This window comes from Homo sapiens, chromosome 2 (assembly GCF_000001405.40).
Source record: "Homo sapiens chromosome 2, GRCh38.p14 Primary Assembly".
Taxonomy (NCBI): Eukaryota; Metazoa; Chordata; class Mammalia; order Primates; family Hominidae; genus Homo; species Homo sapiens.
The window spans coordinates 207891300-207913409 of record NC_000002.12 but is presented as its reverse complement, the minus strand read 5'-3'; the positions used below and the strand labels follow the sequence as shown (position 1 = coordinate 207913409).

The window sequence follows — 22110 nt, the reverse complement described above, 5'->3', positions numbered from 1 at the left end:
TGTCAACCTACTCCTTCCCAGTCCTCTTTCTGTTTATCTACTCCTAAATATTAATAGTACTGTTTCACCAGGAAGCAATCTTTTCTCATTTCCCAGCATGTGCCCCCCTGGACTATCACTTTTTCTCATGGCTTCATCTAAAACCTGTAAGCTGGGGGCCCACAAATCGCCCACTTGGACTCACAGGTGACTCCACTTGAGCATTCCAAAGACAGTTCCAACCGTCTGCCCCAACATCTGAGCTACCCTTTCCCCCACCAAGACAACTCCTCTTCCTTAGTCCTGTTTTTCAGACCCCTTTGTACTAATCAGAGTTTAAGGCAAACTGGCTCCTGGGAATCTTTACTTTTCCCATTCATTTCCTAAAGGACTCCTGTCAGGCCCACTTGTAGGACCTCAGCCACAGCAGAGGAAAGCCCTTGGAATCACCCAGATGGGAAGCTGCCGGGGCCCACACTTTCCTGAGCTTGGCTTTTAGGTCCATATTTACCCTGAGTTTCCCTGTGTTTGGTCTTCCTAAAGAAAATATTTAGAGAATGTCTTGCAAATTCAGTCTGCCTTAGGGGAAAGAGGAATAAATGGCAGTGTGCGTAAGTTATCTGGCCCTGCCTTGGAAACCCTTACCTCTAAGCAGAAGAGTGAGTCCCTATTTCTAAATAGCTGCAAAAAAATCTTTTTCTTATTTTATTTACATTAAAAAGCATTACTATAAGAGATACATTTTAATACCTACCAGTCTTCCCTCTCAGGAAATTTATTCCCATATTTGACTTCAGTGCTTTCATACTACAACTCCCATCCTCCAGGGAGAAAAAAAGGTGATTGGCATTATCTCTCTTAAAAGTCTTTATTTGTAATGGCCACCACTAAATCTCTTGGACACAACATCTTCTCCAGTTCTCCAGACACAATAAGCTGGGTTCCTTCATCTTTCCCGCATATATTGCATTTTCCAGTTCTTTGTGTCTGTTATGACTGACCTCATGTAAATTATAGTATTAGACACTGAAGTGTGATGGAGAAGACAGTAGAGGAAGTGCTTCTGGAGGGGCTTAGAATCTCATATAAAAGGAGAGAGAAAATAAACATATGTGAAATATATATACACATAGAAACATTAAATAAATACATAGCCACTTTAGCTGTGCTGTACAAATAATGTTGAAGGAATATTAGAGATGATTGTGACCAAAGTTGGTTAATTTTTGTGAGAAGAATAATGAATAGTGTTTGGAAGCAAGAAGGACCCTGCCTAGTAAGGAGAAATTGGAAATTCTCTTTGTTGCTCATCAGTTGTATTCATTGAAGTATCTATCTCCAGCACGTAGCACGATGCCTTATTTTAGACACTCAGTAAGTGCTTGTTGACTATGTGATAACTGACTGGTTATAGTACTCCAGGAAGAGTATGCCAGTGTGATTTGGTTTGTAAATTTGTAAATAAGTCTGATATCCTGTATATCCCTAATCATAAAAGTTTTAGAATTTTAAAGCAGAAAGGACTTTTAAGTAGCAAAACATTACAGATATGCTCTCCTGCATTTGTCCCTGCCGTAAATCATTTCATCTTCCTTTTAACTCTTTCTCCAGCTGACCTATGTTTCTACAAACCAGCAGAAGAGGCAGGAGCTAGTCTTGAAATGATTTTGCAGCCCGCTTACTGGACTCCATTTCTTAGCACTGCTGCCACATTGCTTTCATTTTACTTTATTTAAGGGATTTCATTATTAAGCATTTACCTTTCAGTAAGATTATTCCTTCAGTTTAGTCACCCCTAAACATCCTCTGTCTCTCATATTATCATACACTGCTCCCTTTAAGTCCCACTGAAAGACTGCCCTAGTTTTCCTTTCCTGCAGATAAGTTTGGGCCCTTGGATCTTGGAACAGCAAAAGGACATTAGTGAAACCACTGGTGAAACCTGAATAAAGTCTATAATTTGCATAATGTCGATTTCTTATTTTTGATCAATATGCCATGGTTATGTAAGATGTAAGCATTAGGGGAAGCTGGATAAAGGGTATGAAGGTAAGGACATTTTACAAATACAGAGAAATGTTAGGAACTGTGGAAGTACATGTGAACATTCTGGTTATTTTCAAAAACATAGTTTTCAAAATATAATGAGAAAATTGCAGACTACCAAAGTACACTTTTAGATAGTTCTAGATTGTAGGTAAACAAAGTAAAAACAAACAACCCTCATCTGGGTTCAGCCCCCTTCCCATTCAGGTTTTTCCTCACTCCATTCCCTCCATTCCCATGGCTTCAGCTGTCTGCTCTGTGCTCCCATCAGAAGTGCCCTGGGTCTTCTACATCTCAGGCCCAGGTCCATGCTTGCTGTTCCCCACACAGGCACTGGATATTCAGCACATAGGAAGCTCAATTTTTTATTCCCTCCCCTGGAAGCCTGCCCTCAGTTGGCCAATGGCATCACCATTCTCATCCCCAGGCTCTATACTTCAGGGTCATCTTAGAGTCCCTTCTCCTTTTTCACTTATTCCCAATGTTCTCAATTCTTCCAAAAAGTCTCTGGTATCTACCCACTCATTCCTTTCACTGTCCGCTTGTCTGCCCTAGAACAGACTCTCACATGCCTTGTCACCTGTCTGTAGTCTCTCCACCCTCCCTGCTGCCTTCAGAGGCACATCAGTGTGGCGTTCCTGCTTCAAAAAGCATCAGTGGCTCTATACTGCTACCGGCCTAAACTACAGTAATAAACATCCATCCAGAAGAGACATGCATGATATTACTAAATTAGATGATCAGCTCAAACCTACCTCCCTCCTTTCCCTACCCCCAGCCCCAAGAAATTAGAAGGAGCATAGGCCTTTGGAGTCAGAAAGTCCTGGCCTTGAAACTCAGCTCTGTGACCTTGGGCAAATTGGTCTTTGCCTCTGTGCCTCAGTTTCCTCTTATGTAAAATGAAGTTTGTGTTTACCATCCAGGGCTATTGTGAGGATTAGATAAAATGATGTATCTCCAGTGCCAAGCTCAGTGACCTCCTGTAGGCTGCCTTGAGGAAGAGGTCCCTTGATCATTTGTGTCATGTGCTTGTGTTATTGAAAATGGAGGTTGATTACATCTCATGGTCCCTCCAGGGACCATGGTCTACCTTCCACGACAGGGGCCTTCCTGTAGAGAAGCTAATCCTACATGGAGGAATTGAGTACTTTTCCTATGCCCTGCCCAGCTGTGCTGGACCTGTGCTCTGCTTCCTGTCGCAAGTGCAGCCCTGAACCATTAGAGTTGAAGGGAGCCCAGCTGTAGGAACTGCATTCAGTTTCCCAGAATATAATGCCCTTGTCACTCATCTCATTCCTGTGGGTGAAACAGTGCTTTCCAGCAGAATTCTTCAGCGACTTTCCTACTTTCCGGGAGAGGTCCTTACTAGAATACACCTACTCCAGTCCTCCATCTGGTCAGGACTTCATTTAATTGATTCAGTGCTCCATTTTCAGTAGTCTAATAGTGTCTGATATGCAATGTGTGCTTAATCAATATTGGATGGATGGAAGGATGAATGATTTAATATCTAGGATTTGGCAACTAATGCATACTTAATTGAAAGACTGAATAATGATTTTCCCAGTGAGCAAGATTATTAGGCCAGTGGTTCTAAACCTTGGCTGTGCTAATCACCAAGAGAGTTTTTGTTTTGTTTTCTTTAATACTGATTTATGGGCTCTACCCAGGCATATACCCTGTGGTTTTCTAAAAGCTCTCCAAGTGATTCTAATAGACAGCCAGGGTTGGAATCCACCATGTTAGACTACTCAAAAAATATGGACCCCATGCATAACTCTTTATCATTTTCAATTACCACATTGTATTGTATTTATCAGCTTATGTGTCTTTCCCTCACTTGACTTTATGCTCCTTGGCCTCATACTTGGGCTGTCTTCCTAGTGCCTGGCATAGTGCTTGGCATATAATGAATAGTCATAAATGTGAATTGGATAAATTGGTGGTTTCTTTCATTTAAGACACAAGAAAATTGCATAGTACCAAATAAGACAAAGAGAAAAATGTTAGTATCATGGATTTTGTTTTGGGTTTAGTTTGTGTGTGTGTTGTTTTCCAGTCATCTACACTTTGGTAACCTGTTTGCTTACCCATAACGGATTATTTTTGTCTGTTCATTCATTGTCATCTATCCAGATGCTGTGAACGGACAGCAGCTAAAGATACTGGACTTTGTTGAAGAGTCCTAATTTAAAATATCTTGTCCCATTATTCTCATTTGTACAGAGGTTCTAAAATTGCCATCACTGTACATATGAGAGGATAGTTCATTAATATGATATTCAGTATCACTCCTCCTCATTAATGAAAGCCGTAGAAGCCTCTAGACACGAGTGGCCACTCCAGTTTTTCTGAAATCCAAGATCAATATATTTAGATATAGAAAAATACAGCTAGAAAGATATTTGGAGACATCACATTAAACCACCCTCATTCTGCTGTGAAGAAGCTGAAGCCAGGTGGGCATGTGGGGACTTGCCAGAGATCACACAGCTTATTACGGACACAGCTGGTACAAGAAAACTGATGTTCTGGTCCTCAGACCTGGGCCACCACGCAGTGCTTATAGCACTTAAGATTACATTAGAAGTCAAAGATCAAACTTTTACCTCCATTCTGGTGTCTGTGTTGGGAAGAAAAATATCTGAGAAAAAGATATTACAGGTTCCTCAGAGGGCTTAGGAGAAGTATAGGTGGAAAGTGGACAGGGCAGAGGAAAGGAATTCTTGAATGAGACTGAAACTTATCAGAAAAATGTGTGTTATGGCAGCACCACAGTTCACTTGTCTATCTGCCCTTGTTTTCAGAATTTTCCCCAGAGAATACCTCCTTCAACAGATCCACCTGTATTCACTTGCCGACCTGCAGCAGGTAAGTGCTCAGAGGGGCTGTTTCATTTTTGTTGCTTTCCTGGAGAAGTCTCTTTGTTGACTTTGGTCTTTGCACCGTATTCTGCCATCATTGGGGTAGTTTTCATCAGAAACCCTGATAATTCTTTTTCAGAATGGGGGGAAAACTTAGTATAAAAAGATATATGGGACAATAACAAATGTTGGCAAGGATGCAGAGAAACTGGGGCTCTTATACATTGCTGATGGGATGCAAAGTACGTTAGCCACTTTGGAACAGTTAAAAAGTTAAACATAGAGTTACCATATGACCCAACAATTTTACTCCTAGGTATATACCCAAGAGAGTTGAAAACATATGTCCATAGAAAAACCTGTACACAAATGTTCAGAGCAGCATTATTCATAATAGCAAAAAAGTGGAAACAACCCAAATGTTCATCAGCTAATGAATGGATGAACAAAATGTGTTGTAGCCATATAATAAAATATTATTCTGCCATAGAAAGAAGTGAAGTACTGATGCATGCTACAATATGGATAAATCTTGAAAACACTATGCTAAGTAAAAGAAGCCAAACAGAAAAGAATACATACTGTATGCTTCTATTTACATGAAATGTTTAGAATAGGCAAATCCATCGTGACAGAAAGTACGTTAGTGATTGCCAGGGCCTGGGGAGAGCGAAGAAATGAGGAGTGCCTGCTCATGGATAAAGAGTTTCTTTGGAGGCTTAATGAAAGTGTTCTGGAATTAAACAGCAGTGATGGTTATACAGTCTTGTGAATATTCTGAAAACCACTAAATTGTTTACTTTAAAAGAGTAAATTTTATGGTGTGTGAATTTTCCCAATTAAAAATTTGTATGAAAAGATGTAAAAGGCATTGAATGTGTTAAGCCCTTGACTTGTGCTCAAGCCAGAAAGTTGAATGGCTTTTAAAGTTTAGTAAAACATAACAGAGCATGTAAGAGTTGAAATCATCCTTTTATACTTTTATTAGAACATGTACTTTTTTTTTTCCTTTCGTTTGTGAGACAGAGTCTTGCTCTGTCGCCCAGGCTGGAGTGCAGTGGCATGGTCTTGGCTCGCTGCACCCTCTGCCTCCCGGGTTCAAGCGATTCTCCTGCCTCAGCCTCCCGAGTAGCTGGGATTACAGGCATGTGCCACCATGCCCAGCTAATTTTTGTATTTTTAGTAGAGATGGGGTTTCACCATGTTGGCCAGGCTGGTCTCGAACTCCTGACCTCAAGTGATCCGCCCACCTTGGCCTCCTAAAGTGCTGGTATTACAGACGTGAGCTACCACGCCTGGCCACACTTGTACTTTTAATGATTAACCAGATTAGCAGCTAGGAAGAAACTGGCCTTTTGTGTATTCAGCCCTAAATTCTAAATATGTTAAGCTTTGGTTAATCATTTAAATCAACAACTCACTCCTGAGAAGCTGTTGGACACTAGATAATGATTCTTTCAAGAGTTCATTAAATAATAATAATAATTGTGACAACTTTCAGAGTATCTCAAACTGCTGTGATTCTGTTCTTTCGTTGTTGTTTTCCTCTCTGGTTGTTTTATCCAGAAGAATTTAGGTCAACTTAAAAACCATGCTCATATCCTTCAGTCATTTTTCTGACTTTAAATTACTTTTCAAGGATTTTTTGTGTCTTTTAGTTTAATAACTTAAGACTTTTGTGTTCTTTTTGTCCCCCCAGAGCTAGGAAAGTTATTTATTTATTTATTTATTTATTTGACAGTCTCGCTCTGTTGCCCAGGCAGTAGTACAGGGGTGTGATCTTGGCTCACTGCAACCTCAGCCTCCTGAGTTCAAGCAATTCTCATGCCTCAGCCTCCCGTGTAGCTGGGATGACAAGCATGTACCACCAGCCCTGTCTAATTTTTGCATTTTTACTAGAGACGGGGTTTCACCGTGTTGGCCAGGCTGGTTTCAAACTTCTGACCTCAAGTGATCCGCCTGCCTCAGCCTCCCAAAGAGCTGGGATTACAGGTGTGAGCCTCTGCTCCCTGCCAGAAAGTTATTTTAAATTAAATGGCAGACATGATGTTAGAGCATTTAGTTGGAGAAGTCTAAGAAAAGACTAAGGTTTTCATTTCCATTTATGTGTCAAGTTGAAACCTATTTGCACATATCAGCTCTCCCAACTCCTTTGGTCCTGCCTGACCTTTACTACATAGTCAAGCAGCAGTGGTCTGCTGGCTAGGGTGGAAAGGGGTATATTTTTACTTAAAATTGTTGTTCAAGGGGAGGAATTGGTTAAAACACTTGTTATACATTTATCTATTTTCTGAAGTCTACCTGATCGTAGTGCCTGAGGACACAGACTCTATCATTTGAGAAGTATGTTTAAAGGCACTGAACATTCTTGTAAAGATGGTTTAAAGTACAATGGGTGGGCTCCAAAGTGAGTACTCTTTGAGGGAGCCTTTCAAACGTGAGTTTTGATATCTGATGAAGAGAAAGAATCAGAGTAATTCCATATTCATTTTAGGGTGTCAAAGTAATGTATCCATTTGGAATCATACAGCCTGCTTTTTAAGGCTTTCCTATACCCTGCTGTCTTTCTCTCCACCCCCTTTTCTTTTTTTCCTCCTTTAATAATCAAACCATACATGCCAAGCAGCTTACTTAAATCAGTGGCAGGGGTATTCTTGGTGGCCAGGCCATTAGCCCCTGGAGCCCCATAAGCAGCTTAATCAGTTTTCAGTGATGGAGGCAATCAACAGCTTATCAAACACCCTGTGGGTGGGGCAGCTAGAGCTCAATGCATCCATTCACTTAACAGCTCACTCTAACCTGGTTCTTTGTGCCTGGCTTTAAGAGCCCCAAACTTATCATATTTAAAGGAAGTTTAATTCGATTACTTTTTCTGCCTGAGGTGGGTTAAATTGGATTTAGCTTTTGATCTGTCTGCATCTTGGCTATCAGCACTGAAGGGCATCCCCAGCTTCATCTTTCCTTGGTTTCTAAGTAAATAACAAGCATGTTTTCTAGATCTGAATTGTTCTTGCAAATATGTAATGGAAAGGACACAAGGAGAAAGAACAAAAAATAGCATTGCTTTGTGAAAGGGCATGTGGTGGTATCGGGAAACCCTACCTAACTGACCCAACCACCAGCCTTATGGCGTCCTGGGCCTTTTTGGCCTCTTCTGGACTGCTTCATCATCCTGCTTCTTGTCAGTTTCAGGCGTTTTAGAGTAAATTATTTTCCCTGTTTGATTTTTCTCCTCACTGCTAAAGGTTTCTGTAAAAGCAGACCTGTCTGTCATATCGAGTAACTAGAGAAAAGGGGCTTTTAATGTTCAGATTTTGCAGGGGAAAGGAAAATAAACTAAAGCAAGTGACTCAAGAGTTATAAATCAGAAAAAACAATAATGCAGATATTCTTCTTAAATGCACAGGTTCCTGTCTACACATTTCTCTTAAGTTAATTTGATTTTTCCCATTAGCTCTTATTTAAAAAGCAAAACAGACATTTTCCTCTTCAAAAAGAAAAAAAATAGGTAAGAATTTAATAAACATGGTGAAAGGAGATTTATAATTTAGAGACAATTTTAAAATAATATAGTACACAAAGCACTAATAATACTTAAAAATGCTGAAAGAATTCTGGTACCAAAAAAATTGCAATCTTATTGTCCTCTGTCTGGTTTTATGTTTATAAGTAACAATGCCTAAAATTTTAGCAGATAGACTCAATTTAACAATTTGGCTGAAGATTTCAAGCTACCTTACCGCTGCTTTTGTTACATTCAAGACAGTTTTCCCCCTTCTCATTATTTGAATTACTGTCCTCTTTGCATGCATTTTCCCTTACATTTAGATGTGAGGAAAGAAATAGCAAGGATTGACAATTGCTTTACAAAGGAGATTCCCTCCAGTTGTTCTGGGAACGACTGTCTCCTGCTCACTGTTCACTGAGTACCAGTTATTGGCAAAATTAATACTCAGACTGAGTCCCTAATTGTCTGTTTGTTTGACCAGTGATTGAATTGCTCACTGGTATGACTTGCACATTGAAAAAGTAGTAGTTGAATATAGTCATTATCTGACTACATACAGTCAGTTGGTAGCGTTTAGCCATAACGTGTAAAATGGAGCCAAGTAAACCTGGCCTAGTAGCAGGGCCAAGGAAGAAGCATAAGACACAGGCAGAGGCTCTCCAGATCCTAGGAGCTCCAGGGAGCATGGCCTTCCTTTACTCATTTCTTGTGTTTAGAATTCCAGGTGAATTTCTGTTCTGCAAACTAGATATTGTTAGAAAAACATATTCAATCCAAACTCTTTGAATATAACTTTAACAGAAGGTACTGCTCATTTTTAAAAAAATAAAATCTTACAAACTTTCTTTGAGGAGGTATGAATGCATGGTGGCTTTTGAAGTGACCAAGTACTTCCTTATAAAGGAAGTAGCAGGCAACAACTCAGCGTGTGTGGATGCATGGACTAGTATTGGTGCACGTTTTGAATGGGGAAACTGAGGCACTGCTTTTTAAGAGCTTTTCCTTGGTTAGCTACTTTGAGAAGGATAAATAGAATAGAATTTGTGTTTTGTTATTTTCAGTCTATCCAGCATTATCACAAATCCATGAGAAGGCTTTAAGACAGGAATGCAATAAAAATATATGCTCACCTGAGATGGCAAGACTTGTACCGTAACTCTCAATGCCTTAACTTTTGGCGTCAGCTATCTGCTTTCCCTGTTAAGTATGTGACAAACCATCTCCTTACTCACATCCCCTTGGCACTTTTAACACTAATGAAAAGGTTCCAGATTTTACCAGTAGAATACATTAGTACATATAAATAAATGGTCAAGAGTTCTTAGTTGTTCTTAAGGAGCAAATCAGAACTCTGGTTTAATATGTCAGTCTTTGGACTGTGTAAATGATAGGAGAATTCTTCTAAAGTTCCTTCTACTTGCTGAAAGAAAAGGTCAGATTTTACTTTTAAATTTTGGCTACCTGTGCTCTTGTGACAAAACCTAAAATGTATATTAATGACTAACTCTTCTGGTATTACTCACCTTTGGGGGCATATGTAAGTTAAGCATTGAATGATTCTATTTGTGGCGATTCATGAGAAAGGATACTGGATGATCCCATGGGTGAGGTGGCTGGTTAGAGTAGGCCCTCCCCGCTACTCCCTCCACTGCCCACCACCTCACCCCCGCACACACACACCCCTCTTGTGAGACAATCTAAGGAGCTAATTTTCTCATTATTTTCCTTCCCTGGGCCCTAAATTTCCAAATGAGACCCTACCTTTAGGTGAGGGCAGTTTAGATTCTAGTTTATAGGAAATATATTACCCAAGAAAAATAAATTATTATTTTGGCAGAAATTCATTTGAAAACATGGCATGGTATTGGGGGCGGGGAGACATTTCCACAGATAAGTTTTAATGAAAGAAAAAGGACAGGAAAGTCTGGAATTTGGAGTACTTACTAAAGAGTTGTGAAGTGGGAAGGATGCCAGGTGGGAGGACCCACAGCACTCAAGAGCCATGAAAAGAGAGAGGAGTGACCAGATGTACACTACCTTTCTGGAATTGCCTAGCACTGCCTAAACCGTTTGTTTTATACTAAAGCAATACACACTTACACTAAGCAACTAATGTAACTTATGCAACATAGAAATGTTCAGTGGATGGATGGATGGGTGGGTGGATGGGTGGGTGGGTGGATGGGTGGGTGGGTGGATGGGTGACAGGGTGTATATGTACATATGTTCATACATATACTATCGTGAACTCACTGGTTCTCTCTCCCTTGAAAAGCAAAGCAAACTGATTAACATTAGCCGCTAAACAAAACAAAATTAGAAAAGCTGGCGATGAAATAACAATGCACAGAATTCTAAAACCAAATAAAAATCTCTGCTTATGTCAGAATAATGGGGAGTTGTTTAGTGTTGTAAACTTCCCGAACACTCCATATCCTGAACAGTTAACTCTTCAGTTAACTTTTTTGCTAGTCCAGCATACCCACAGAGCTTAGGAATTGTCATCCGTGTGACCTCAGCATTTGTTGGAATTGGCCCCTAAAGAAGTAATTCAAACAGTGGTCTTACCTCAACTGTTTTCTAACTGGTAAGATCACGAAAAGGCAATGTTTAAGGTATTTCAAGGCCACTTTTAAACAACATACTTTACTGAATTCTTCTTCAAGGAAGTGATGTGAGTTATTTTGCACGGCCCTGCCCCACCAAACAAACCCATTATCAGAGAACGTTTTTCTCTATGGACGCTCTCACAGAGTCAGCAGACAAAGGCCGAGCCTAAGTGGGCACCCAGCACAGCTGCCCTTTCACCAAAGAAGTAACAGGTGATGACCTTTATTCACACAGGGGTTGACATCTTTGAATCCACAGCTCACAGGAACACAGCGCCTCAGTGCCCACAACCGAGTCACCAGTCCCAAGCCTCAGGAGCCCAAGGAACTTGTATTCATAGCTTCTCAGCAGCCCTGATCCCTACACCATTGTCCACCCAGGCATTAGTGGTGAGGATAACTAATTAGGAGCATTCGGATTTAACAAGCAGAAAAACAAAGCGTGACAGCTCGCCTGTGTTGTTCCATGGCAAGTGCCTGTGTCCGCTGCAGCCGGCACTGCCTTCAGAAACCACTGAACATAATCTGGGGCGAGACAGGAACGAGGCCTCCATTAAAACATCACTAAATCTCTGTTAACTATTTTAGCCACGGCTCTTCCAACCAATTAATGAGCTAGGAAAGAGGACTATAAGTTATTTGGGGAACAAATTATGCCTTTTAAGCAAGTGGGTTTTCAAAAAATGAATGCACAGGCTAAGATCTTGCTGGGGAGGAGGAAGGGATTGAGTGTTATCCTTTGAAGTTTTGATAGACAGGCAGCAGAGCAAATGGAAAAGTGCTGTTTCTCAAGAGAGCAGGTGTATCTTGAGTGGGTGCCGAACAGTTCATGCCTCATGCTCGGTCTCCCAGTGTGTTTCACATCGTACAGGGAGGGGAACGGGAAGAGTGACAACTGCTGCTAGGTGCCAGGACTGGAGCTGGGTCTTCTGACTTCTCACTTTCAGTCTTGATGTCCTTACTACCTGCTGAGCATAACTACTAGTTTTCTGGTGTTTTGGTGATGGGGCCAGTTAGCTGAGTGGGTTAAAGCAGGTGATTAGCAAGGTGCTGGTGCAGATTGTTCTTTATGCAAGCTGACTTTTCTGTTCTGCAGACCCAGGCACTACAGCCAAATCTAACCTGATCCACAGATGATTGAAGGATCGGGGGAGCTCGGCACGGGATGTGGCAGCAAATGTGCGGCACTAAGGACAAAGTCACTGCCTTTTGTGGAAGCCAGATCAGAAAGATGACTGTGTGTTGTGAGTGGTGGATAGAGAGCCCTGTTGCCCAGGTGAGAAGGAGCTCAGTTGAGATAAGGATTCCAGGAGCCAACTCGAGCCCCTCAGGTAGAGACAACAATACCGGTTGAGGCTGCAGCTGTGGAGTTGGATGGTGTTTAGTCAGTGCTGAAATCACTTTCCTGGGAGTCCCTTGGCATGCAGTCATCTGAGTGCTGTTGTTGTTGTTGGGTTTTTGTTGTTTCCTATTTTAAAAGAGTAATCATAATACTGACGAAGTGAGGGCCTGTTTTCAAAGAACATTTACTTAAAGATATAGAGTAAGGTTAGCATCGGTCTTGCCAGTGGTAGAAACCTATGCCACCAACAGCCATCATGAAAGGGCCCCAGGAGTCTTTCTGGTTCTTCATTTCTATTCAGTTTGATTCAACAAGTGTGTATTGATTGAATGCTTTCTGTGTGCCAATCATTGAGCTAGCCACAGAGGAGGCAAAGGTGATTAAGCCACAATTCCTTCCCTCACTGAGCTCACAGTCTGATGAGAGAGGCAGATAGGCATTGTTGAAGTCAGCGGAGTTGAACCTAGGGTACTTGGGGAATACATCTGACCAAGTGTGTGGCAGATTGTATTTTGCAAAAATAGCTGCAACAGTATCTTCCATCCCACATGTCTTTCTTACACTGTGACTTTGATGCTCCTCCTATTCAGTAGTGAGATCTGTGTTCCTTCTCCCCGAATTTGGGCAGGTCTGTGACTATGGAAGTGATGCCATGTGATTTCCAAAGCCAAGTCATAAAAGGTGATATAGCTCCAACCTGGTGCTGTCTGGAGATGCTCACTCATGGCAACCCAGTGGCCATGTTGTAAGGAAGTCCAGATTAGCCCTCATAGAACAACCACATGAACAGGCCTCATATGGTAGTTGTTCTAGCTGGCAGCGATCATCAGCCACCAGAGAGATGAGTGAAGACAGCCCCACATGATTCCAGCTGCTAGCCTTCAAGTCTTCTCACCTAGGCTAGAGATGAGGCTGCAGATATTATGGAGCAGAAACAAACCATCTCCACAGTGTCCTTCCTGGAGTCCTGACCGACCGACAAAATGTGTGAGCCCATAATAAAATGGTTGTTTTGCACCACTAGGTTTTTGTTCGTTGGTTTTTTTTCACCACTAAGTTTTGGGGTAATTTGTTTTGCAGTAATAGTAACCAGAACACCCAGTAACTTGGCCATCAGGGAAGGCTTCCTAGAGGCTATGACTGTAAGTTAAAATTTTGGCCCATAATCATGAGCCAGAGAGAGAGGACTAGGAAGAGAACTTTGAGGCCATGGTAACCTTAAACCACTCTAATGATCTGATCTACAGTGTTTCTTCCATGGGGGCAAGCTAAAGAAAATTTTCACTACCAACTGTGACATTTCTTAACACTGTCTGCATGCTTCAGGATTATTCTGATAAATTGTCTCAACAAAACATTCGTAGAATGAGTAAAACGGTATCGCTTCACTTCCCTCAGAAATGAAAGATTCTGGGATGTGCCTTGAGGTGCAAGAACGAGGAATTGAGTTTTAAATCTTTCCATCCCACCTGTGCACCTGAAATGTGAGCCCAACTCTGTCACCAAGCCCCTCGCTGGGTGTTTTCTCCCTATTCATTTATTCATTCAGCAAATATTTATTAAGCATGTACTATGTATCAGGAGCCATGTTACCCCTGAAATTGAAAGGGCACATTTTCTCAGAAACGGACTAGATTCTTACTGATTATGGTCAAACTCTTGCACTCTGTCTGTGTGCCAGGAACTTGTAGTCAAAGCTGCTCATGATTCTGTTCCACTTGGTGATGTCCAGTAGAATTTCATCCCTTGATGCCTTGGACTAGCCATCCCACCACACCCACAGTTGGTCTTCAAGGGACTAGAAGGATAACCAGAAGGCACTATCTATTCAGATGTTTGAGGGCTGAGGAGGTTTCCAGCACTTCACCCAATTCAGAAATGTAACCAGGATGCATGGCAACCTCAGAAGACAGCATTGCCACATGTGTCTTAGCGGACATCATTGTCTCCATGTGATAGTGGCCTGCGATTCCCTCCATATTTGGAACTTGCAGCTTTTCAACAATATTACACCCATCTTTGTGAGGAAACATTAGAAGGCTGATGGAGGCAGCTTTTCATATTGTTGTTTGGCTTTTATTTGAACTTCCGGCTAAAGCCTAGTGAACCATCAACACATTTGCTCCTGGAATTTTATTTTATTTTATTTTATTTATTTATTTTTTTGAGACAGGTTCTTACTCTGCTGGCCAGGCTGGAGTGCAGGGGCATGATCATGGCTGGCTGCAGCTTTGACCTCCTGAGCCCGAGCAATCCTCCCATCTCAGCCTCCCAGGTAGCTGAAACCATAGGCACGCGCCACCACGCTACGGCTGATTTTTAAAATGTTTTATAGAGGTAGGAGTCTCCCTATGTTGCTCAGGCTGGCCTTGAATTCCTGGACTCAAGCAATCCTCCCACCTCAGCCCCCTGTGTAGCTGGGACTACAGGCTTGCACCACCATGCCCAGCTAATTTTTGTGGGGTTTTTTGGTAGAGATGTGTTTTCGCCATGTCGCCCGGGCTGATCTCGAACTCCTGGGGTCAAGTGATTTGCCCGCCTCAGCCTTCCAAAGTGCTGGGATTACAGGCGTGAGCCAGCACGCCTGGTCCATTTCACGTTTTAAAGGAGGGAATTCTGGCTCTAGAATAGAGCTATGTTGATTGGTATTCCTGCAGAGACCAGGCAAATGGCATCTGTCCCTGAAGCAGGCCCAAGGGGAGACAGGTTGTGCAGATGAACCAGAGAGAGCTTCCATATCTGAAAGGGGCAGCTGTTACTCAGTAGCCCCAGAGTTGTCTGCTCTTCCCGTTTTCCAAGAGAAGCCGGAAATCTGTATTTTTATGTGAAATTTCTCAATATTTAAACACTCTGCAGGCCAAACAAAACACAGCCACCAGTTTTGACCTCTGCTTTATAATAGAGAATGCCTGCTTTTGTTCCGTCAAACTAATGAATGCTGAATTACGAGAAGGAATTTGGAGGTTAGTGTTAGATTGTGCTCCTCAAAAGGCGGCAGACCCCATCCCAAACCCTTGAGATACTAATTGGCAGACTTGCACAGGCTGACAGCTGGACTCTGAAAGTGGACACACACAAGGAAACAGCCAAGCTATTCCAGGTCACTTTGCAAGGTCAGGGCAGCAATGCAAACATTAGGAAGGCTGAAGACAAAGGTCAGGTGGCAGCAAGGAAGCCCTACATTCCCTTAAGCTGTTGGTTGATAAATCATATTCTAAAGGTATCACCAGACTCCCTCACCCTGACATTGCTTTGTGAGGTAGAAAATTAAATAGAAATCAAAATTAAGATGGCTGTCAGGAGCTTTTAGGAGGCCAGCACGCCAGTGTGAGGTGAACATGGGATGGAGTTTCTGCCTGGAGCAAAGGTCTCCTAAGGGATGATGATATCCAACATTGGGCATTGCAGAGGTGCTGGCCGCTGCAGCGGTCACACACTGCAGCTTTGGAGGCTGCCTGTCTATGTTCAAATGCCGACTCACCCCAGAAATATTAGGTGACCTTGGGCAAGTCACTTCTCTTTGTGCCTTAAGCACTTCATCTCTGAAGTGAGAATAATAGTACCTGCCCCCGAAGGTTGTTGTGAGGCCTTAGAGTTAGTATGCATAAAGCACTTAGAACTTTGCCTGACACTTAAGGGCTTAGGAGATAGGCACTTTACTAGGGGTAGAGTATTGCTATTAGTGTTGCTGTGAGGTGTGGACCTTGTATAAACGGCTCCTGGGAGTTTTCTTCAGCGTCATCAAGACACTGCATCTGTGGACACTAAACCACAACCATTGCCACAAAAGCAATGCTTGCTATGTCTCAGTTTTCCCCCTCATGTTCCGTAGGGGAATCTAGGCCATAGAAACCTGCTATAGCTGCAGCTATATAGTCACCATATGGAGCAGCACCTTGGTAGGGAATGCAGAATAGCTTCATTTCCTTTTGCCTCCAGGATGATCCTAGACCAGACCTCCCCAGTGGCTCCATAGGGGAATTGCACCTGGAGAGCCCCCACCCTCTTGAGCCAAGGAACTCTCCCTAGGCCTGCGCTTGAGTGAGTGGTACTACCTACCCTCTGAATCTTGCCACTTGTTTCTTGCAAGAATGCATGACCTTTTGGTGGGCTATGCACAGACGTCTTTTCAATTTTAACAAAAAGCAGTCTTTCTGTAAATTTTGTAGAATCCTGGAGTACACATTTTTGTGCTTAAAGAAAACCATGGAGTCCACACTCTTTCTACAGCTGCGGAGAGAAGCTTACCAGACTGAAATGTTGGCAGAAACAAAGAGACGCCATGTTCCTTCCCACCTGCAATTATAGTTTTACTAGCTTGTAAAGCACACATAGAATTTGCAGTACATTCTTCCCTTGCAGTAGGGGAGAGGCCCTGCTGTGAATGTAATTGGCTTTCTAGCTTCCTTTAACATTGAGGTGGAAGGGAACTGGACCGAAGGGCCTTTACTCTTAGAATTAACTGATGTTGAATTGTGTTTAAATTCCATGCATCTCCCTGAATGCATTTGTTCCATTAAGTCTTAGTCAGAAGTGGAGGCACAGCTTACCTCTGAAAATATTCCAATCCCTATCATTTCTCATCACTTTGTAAAAGCTGAGTTTCTTTCTTTTTAAAAAATGGATTTTTAACTTAACCCGGGTAGGGATTATTTTCCATCCTGTTAACCTCTGTTAAAGATGTATGGCATCTTTAGATGACAATTTCATACAGTACAGCCCATTTAGGTCACTTTTTATTCTGGCTATGGCCTTGCAACTATATCAGTTCCCAGGAAGAGGACCACAGGCATGTATTTGGATGGAAACTGTATTACTTTACTTCTCGAATCCCAGTTTCTTCATTCGTGAAGTGAGAGGATTGGATTAAACAATCTTTACAGCCCCTTCCAGCTCTAGGGCCCTCATTCTGTGATTTTATAGAGCTCGAGAAGTGATGAAATTGTGGAAGTCTTTCTGCGTGTATCTGCTTTCTGGGGGCTCCCAGCCAGTTTGCACGAAGTATCCAGGCTTCTGGGTGCAGCAAGGAACCTGGAATGAGAGCCAGGTCGCTGAGTGTAGGCTCAGCACCTTCAGTTCTAACTGACAAATGGCTGGATTTCCATTTGCCAAAGGTCAACTATTTCAACTTTTTGTCAGGAAATAACAGCTTTAAGCATTTTGACAAATATGATCTGAAGGACAGCTTATTAAAACAAGTTAAATATACTGATTTTATATTTTCCTTAAAGACAAATTGTTGTCTTAATACCTTACAATTCAGTGGCAGTTAAAATAATGCCCAGTAAACAAAAGTTGGCCAGTAAGAACATGCAGAAGGTAATATGCCACCTAGCGGGTTTCCTCCTAAAACGGGCAGCACCAGTCAGGTTATCTGGTGAACTGTGAGTTGGCATTTGTGTTTGGGCTAACAACAGAGAGCCCATTGCAGCTGAGGTTTCCAAGAGGTGGAACTATTTAAGAACTTGGGCTATAAGGGACATTAAGGGAATGGGGCACCATAAGGGAAGCTTTAGAGCTGAACAACAAAGGAAATCAGGGGAAGGAGACTGTGAAAGGATTCTTGGCTAGAGCACAGGTCAAGGGCACAGAGAGAAAGTAGGCTAGGCAATCACGGGTAATAAAACTACGGATTTGAGTTTGGGTAATAAAACTACGGATTTGAGTTTCACCTTTTTCTCTTTTCTCTGCCTCCTGCCTGCTGGGGACAGGGACTGATCATCTGGCAGACAGGCAGATATGCTGACAGGGCCAGGATCCTCAGCCTGTTTGCTCCATCCCTGACTTGGTATGGTGCAGTCTCACTGAAGGCAAGGGGCCTGCCTGGTTCACTCTCATTTTACAGCACTTAGCCAAGAGGAGAGAGGGAGGGATGGCCAGAAAACTCACGACCCAGGATGACAGCAACAGTTTATCCTTTAGCAAGTCACAAAATACCTCTGCTGCTTAAAATCTTTCTTTGTAAAATGAGAAGGTTGTACTAAATAATTAGATTAATAATAGCTCCCTTTTAGTATATGCTCAAAAAATGTTACTCACTTTTATTATTGAGTGCTTACTTTAGGCCAGACCCTGTCCTAAATCTACGTGGATTATCTCATTTAATCCACACAATAGCCCTATATAATGACCTATAATAATAGGTACTATTATTATCCACATTTCACCAATGAGATTTACTGGCACAAAGTCGTCCAGCTAAAGTGGAGGAGCTGGGATTCAAACCCAAGCTGTCCTGTTCTAGTACACATCCTGTTTTGTTATGTTTTTTCAATTTTGTGTGAAATGTTTCAAACGTATTAAAAGAAAGAAGAATGAATACTGCCAGCTGCATGATTGCTTCTGCAGTGGAAGGACTCCCTTCTTTAGAGAAATGGGCACACACTCTGAACCACTAAATTGGACTGTTTTCTCCCAGCACTCACATTCTCTATTTCTAGAGGCAAATTGCTATCAAATCCACCTGGCAGCAAAACAAACCCCACCCCCCCACCCCAACCACCACCATTTCTGAAACTCTACCATGTCTTTCCACTGGTTGGAAGGCAGGAATAATAGGGCAAAGGTGGGGAAAGAAAAGGGCAAATGCACCCATCATTAGCCCTGGAGTGCCAGCACCATGCATGGCAAAAAAACCCAGTGCTTGGAAAGACTCTGTAGATATTGGGACTATATTGGTCAGGCCCAGCTTCCTGCCCAGTTTCCCCCAGATAGGCTGTAACCCCTAAAATTATTTACAGGTCAGTTTCAACTGGTGCCACGGTGGTCAAAATATTTTATTCTGTCTACACCAATGACCTGTAGTCATCAAAAACAGCAAGATGCTAGAACAAAGGAACTGGATAATCCACAGAATATATTGCAGTCCAAAAGGGAATGCAGCCTAATTAGATATGGATTTATGATGCTGTGAATTTCCTTTTTGCTTTTTTGATTATTTATTTTTAAGACCAGGACTCTCTCTGTCACCCAGGCTGGAATGTAGTGCATGATCCCAGCTCACTGCAGCCTCGACTTCCCAGGCTCAAGCAGTGCTCCCACCTCAGTCTCTCATGTAGCTGAAACTACAGGTGTGCGCCACCACACCCAGCTAATTTTTTTTATTTTTAGTAGAGACAAGGTCTCGCTGTGTTTCGCAGGCTGGTCTCGAACTCCTGAGCTCAAGTGATCCTCCCACCTCGGCCTCCCAAAGTGCTGGGATTACAGGTGTGAGCCACTGCACCTGGCCTTGCTTTTTGTTTTTGTTTTGTTTTTCAAAATTTTCAGGTTAGCACACTCTGTATCTGTAGCTATGACTGACCTGTGTCAGTGTGTGGTTTTGTATTTATAGCTGGCCTGATTCCAAAAAGGACTTTTGAGAGAGAGCTTCTCTCTTTCTCTCTCTCTCTGTCATGCATATATATGTGTGTGTATTTATAACTGTGACTAATTTTAATTCCTATCCCCTTCCATTGGTTTGAATTATTGACATATACACTTGTCAAAGATGAGTCTTTGCTACCCAGGATCCCGCATGTCTGGAGTTCTGCTAGCATCCATCCCCTAGTTTATGGTTAAAAAACCCAACTTCTAAAATTGCCATCAGCCTAAAGGTTCCCTTCAGCCACGCAAAAGATAGCAAAAATCTCTGATGCAGCTGACATTTTAGGTGTGTGTATAATTTAACAAATTGTTGACCACTCAGCTTTTAGTCAGTGGTCACAAAAGGAATTAGCAGCCCTCCCCTGCTCCCCCAAAACCCAAAGAAGGAAGGGTGTTCCTTGGCTTTGGCCCAGAGGCCTGCTGGCACGCAGTGTCAAACAGCAGCACAATGGTACATTTTGGCCACAAAAGGCTTTGGGGTGGCAGAAAGGGCCAAAATAGTTGTGGCATAAGTTGGCTGGGATATTAAGTAAATCTGAGTTTAATTTAACATAGAGATAACAACGCTTTTTTTGTTTTCCAACTGGCTGCTGCTTTCTCTGTCTCCATGAGACCAAAGATTGGAGCCAGGAGTTAGTTCATGAGGGTATTCAAGTCCTTTCAAAGTGAGACATGCAGTGGTCTTTACACAGGCTTTCACGTTTGTCTGGGCAAGATGGAGTAAGGATAAAAAGGCACATGGGTAGCTGGGGGAAGCTGAAAATGGATCTTGAGGCTTGAATTCCTTCTATGAGTTTGCTTAAGCCACATCGCCTGAGCTTAGAATAGCGAGGCAGGCAGTCTGTCTCCTTGGGATAAGGAAGGATTTGGAACTCGGCGACTGTGAGGTCTTGGCCCCTACTGTGTTTTCTGGTTTGTTTTGTTAACAGGAGCAAGTTATTCTAGTTTCTTGCTTCTGGGTTTTTCTTCAGCACACTTTAAGCAATGAGTCTCCACCCCACCAATGGCAATGGGGTGGATGGAATGGGATAATGAAAGGGGTGGCGAGAGAAGTTGATTCAGCTGCTTAGGATGAGGGAGGCAATCTTCAGACCTTGGATTTAGCTTCTGAATCTGTCAAGGGTGGAGAGGGAAGGGTTCCACGGGATTGAAACCATCTCAGCGTAGGAGAGAAGTTGAAGTCTTTCTGAGAAACTGATATGGCCAGCCGTGCTAGTTAGGAAAACCAGCTTATTGTCTCAACTGCAATTTTATTACCCATGAAATGGTTAACAGTGGAGGAGAAGCTATAGTATTTTAAAATGCAATCTGCGAAATGTAACCAATCAAAAATGATTATGATGCATTGGTATGGATGTGTATGGTAAATGGTATGCTGTGTACATTTACCACAATAAGAAAAAGAATATCATCCCCTTTACAAAAATGATGATGAGCACCGCAGGAAAGTACTGGCACTGCATGACTTACGGAGTCTATTTTACAGCCTTTCCAGGATCTGTTCAGTGCTAGGTTCAATGTACTGTGATGCAGTGAGTTTGAAGAAAAGTATAAGACAAGACACACATTCTAGGTGGGAGTGTGCTGACAGTCCTCTGAACTGAGAGGAGAGGAATACAGTTAGGAGGAAATCACCAGCCCCTCATACCCAGGCTCTAGAAGGGCTCACCTTGAAGGGTGTCCTCAGTTTCGAGGCCAGGGAGCCCAAGAGGGTACCATTTTATGTTTCTTGCCAGGACTGTGTTATGCCTTCCCCAAATAAAATGTCACCTGAGTTACTTAGTTCTCAGGCGTGCTTGCAAGAGCCTTTAAAAATAATCCATAAGTGAAAGATTCAGCCTTGAAAGCAAGTCTTGATCTTATCCATCCTGGACCCCAATCCTAGGAGCAGTGCCTGGGCAAGAAAAAGTGCCTCATAAATATGGGGTGAATGAATGAATCAGTTATAGGAAGAGGTGGTGAGGGTAAGAATGAACTAAAAGGGGGCTATCTGTTCATTCAAACTATGTTATTGCATAAGTGAGCATTTGTGAACTGAAAACCTCTTTGGTTTTTTTCTTTAGGACTGCTCGGTCCCGAGTTCAAGTAAACAATTGACTTTCAAGTAAATCTTTAAATAACCCTGGTCTATTGGTTAACTTCAGCATGGCCTCTGAAAAGCAGTTTAGCATAATAGTTGTGGGCAGAGAGTCTGGAGCCAGACAGCTTGAGTTTGTATCTTGCCGGCACCCCTTACCTGCTGTGTGACCTTAAGAAATTTATTTAAACTTATGCCTCAGTTTCCTTTTCTGCAAAATGAGGACAATTAAACTCCCTGCCTCACAAGGTTGTGAGGTTAAGTGAGTTACAAATATGTACAATGCTTAGAAGAGTTTGGCATATAGTGAATGCCCCATGAGG

At 42.4% G+C, this 22110-nt stretch overlaps 1 protein-coding gene across 8 annotated transcripts in view, besides 1 other annotated feature; it reads left to right on the top strand.

Annotated features, from left to right (window-relative positions):
* Window positions 1-22110, top strand: part of PLEKHM3 (pleckstrin homology domain containing M3) — a 204240-nt gene that overhangs the window by 112118 nt on the left and 70012 nt on the right. For 7 of the 8 annotated variants that reach the window (XM_017004073.2, XM_005246545.4, NM_001080475.3 and 4 more), the window contains one exon: window positions 4833-4896. In XM_017004073.2, the coding sequence (XP_016859562.1) occupies window positions 4833-4896 (64 nt within the window). Of the gene's footprint in view, window positions 1-4832; window positions 4897-12102; window positions 13372-22110 lie in introns of those variants that run through there. The other variant, XM_011511163.3, reaches the window with a different exon arrangement.
* Window positions 4027-5226: an enhancer, noted in NCBI's record as "MED14-independent group 3 enhancer chr2:208772908-208774107 (GRCh37/hg19 assembly coordinates)". NCBI's record gives its function as "activates an origin of replication core promoter dependent on BRD2, BRD4, P300/CBP and CDK7 cofactors, and independent of MED14, by STARR-seq in HCT116 cells {active_cell/tissue: HCT116}" and the evidence as "EXISTENCE:reporter gene assay evidence [ECO:0000049][PMID:35650434]".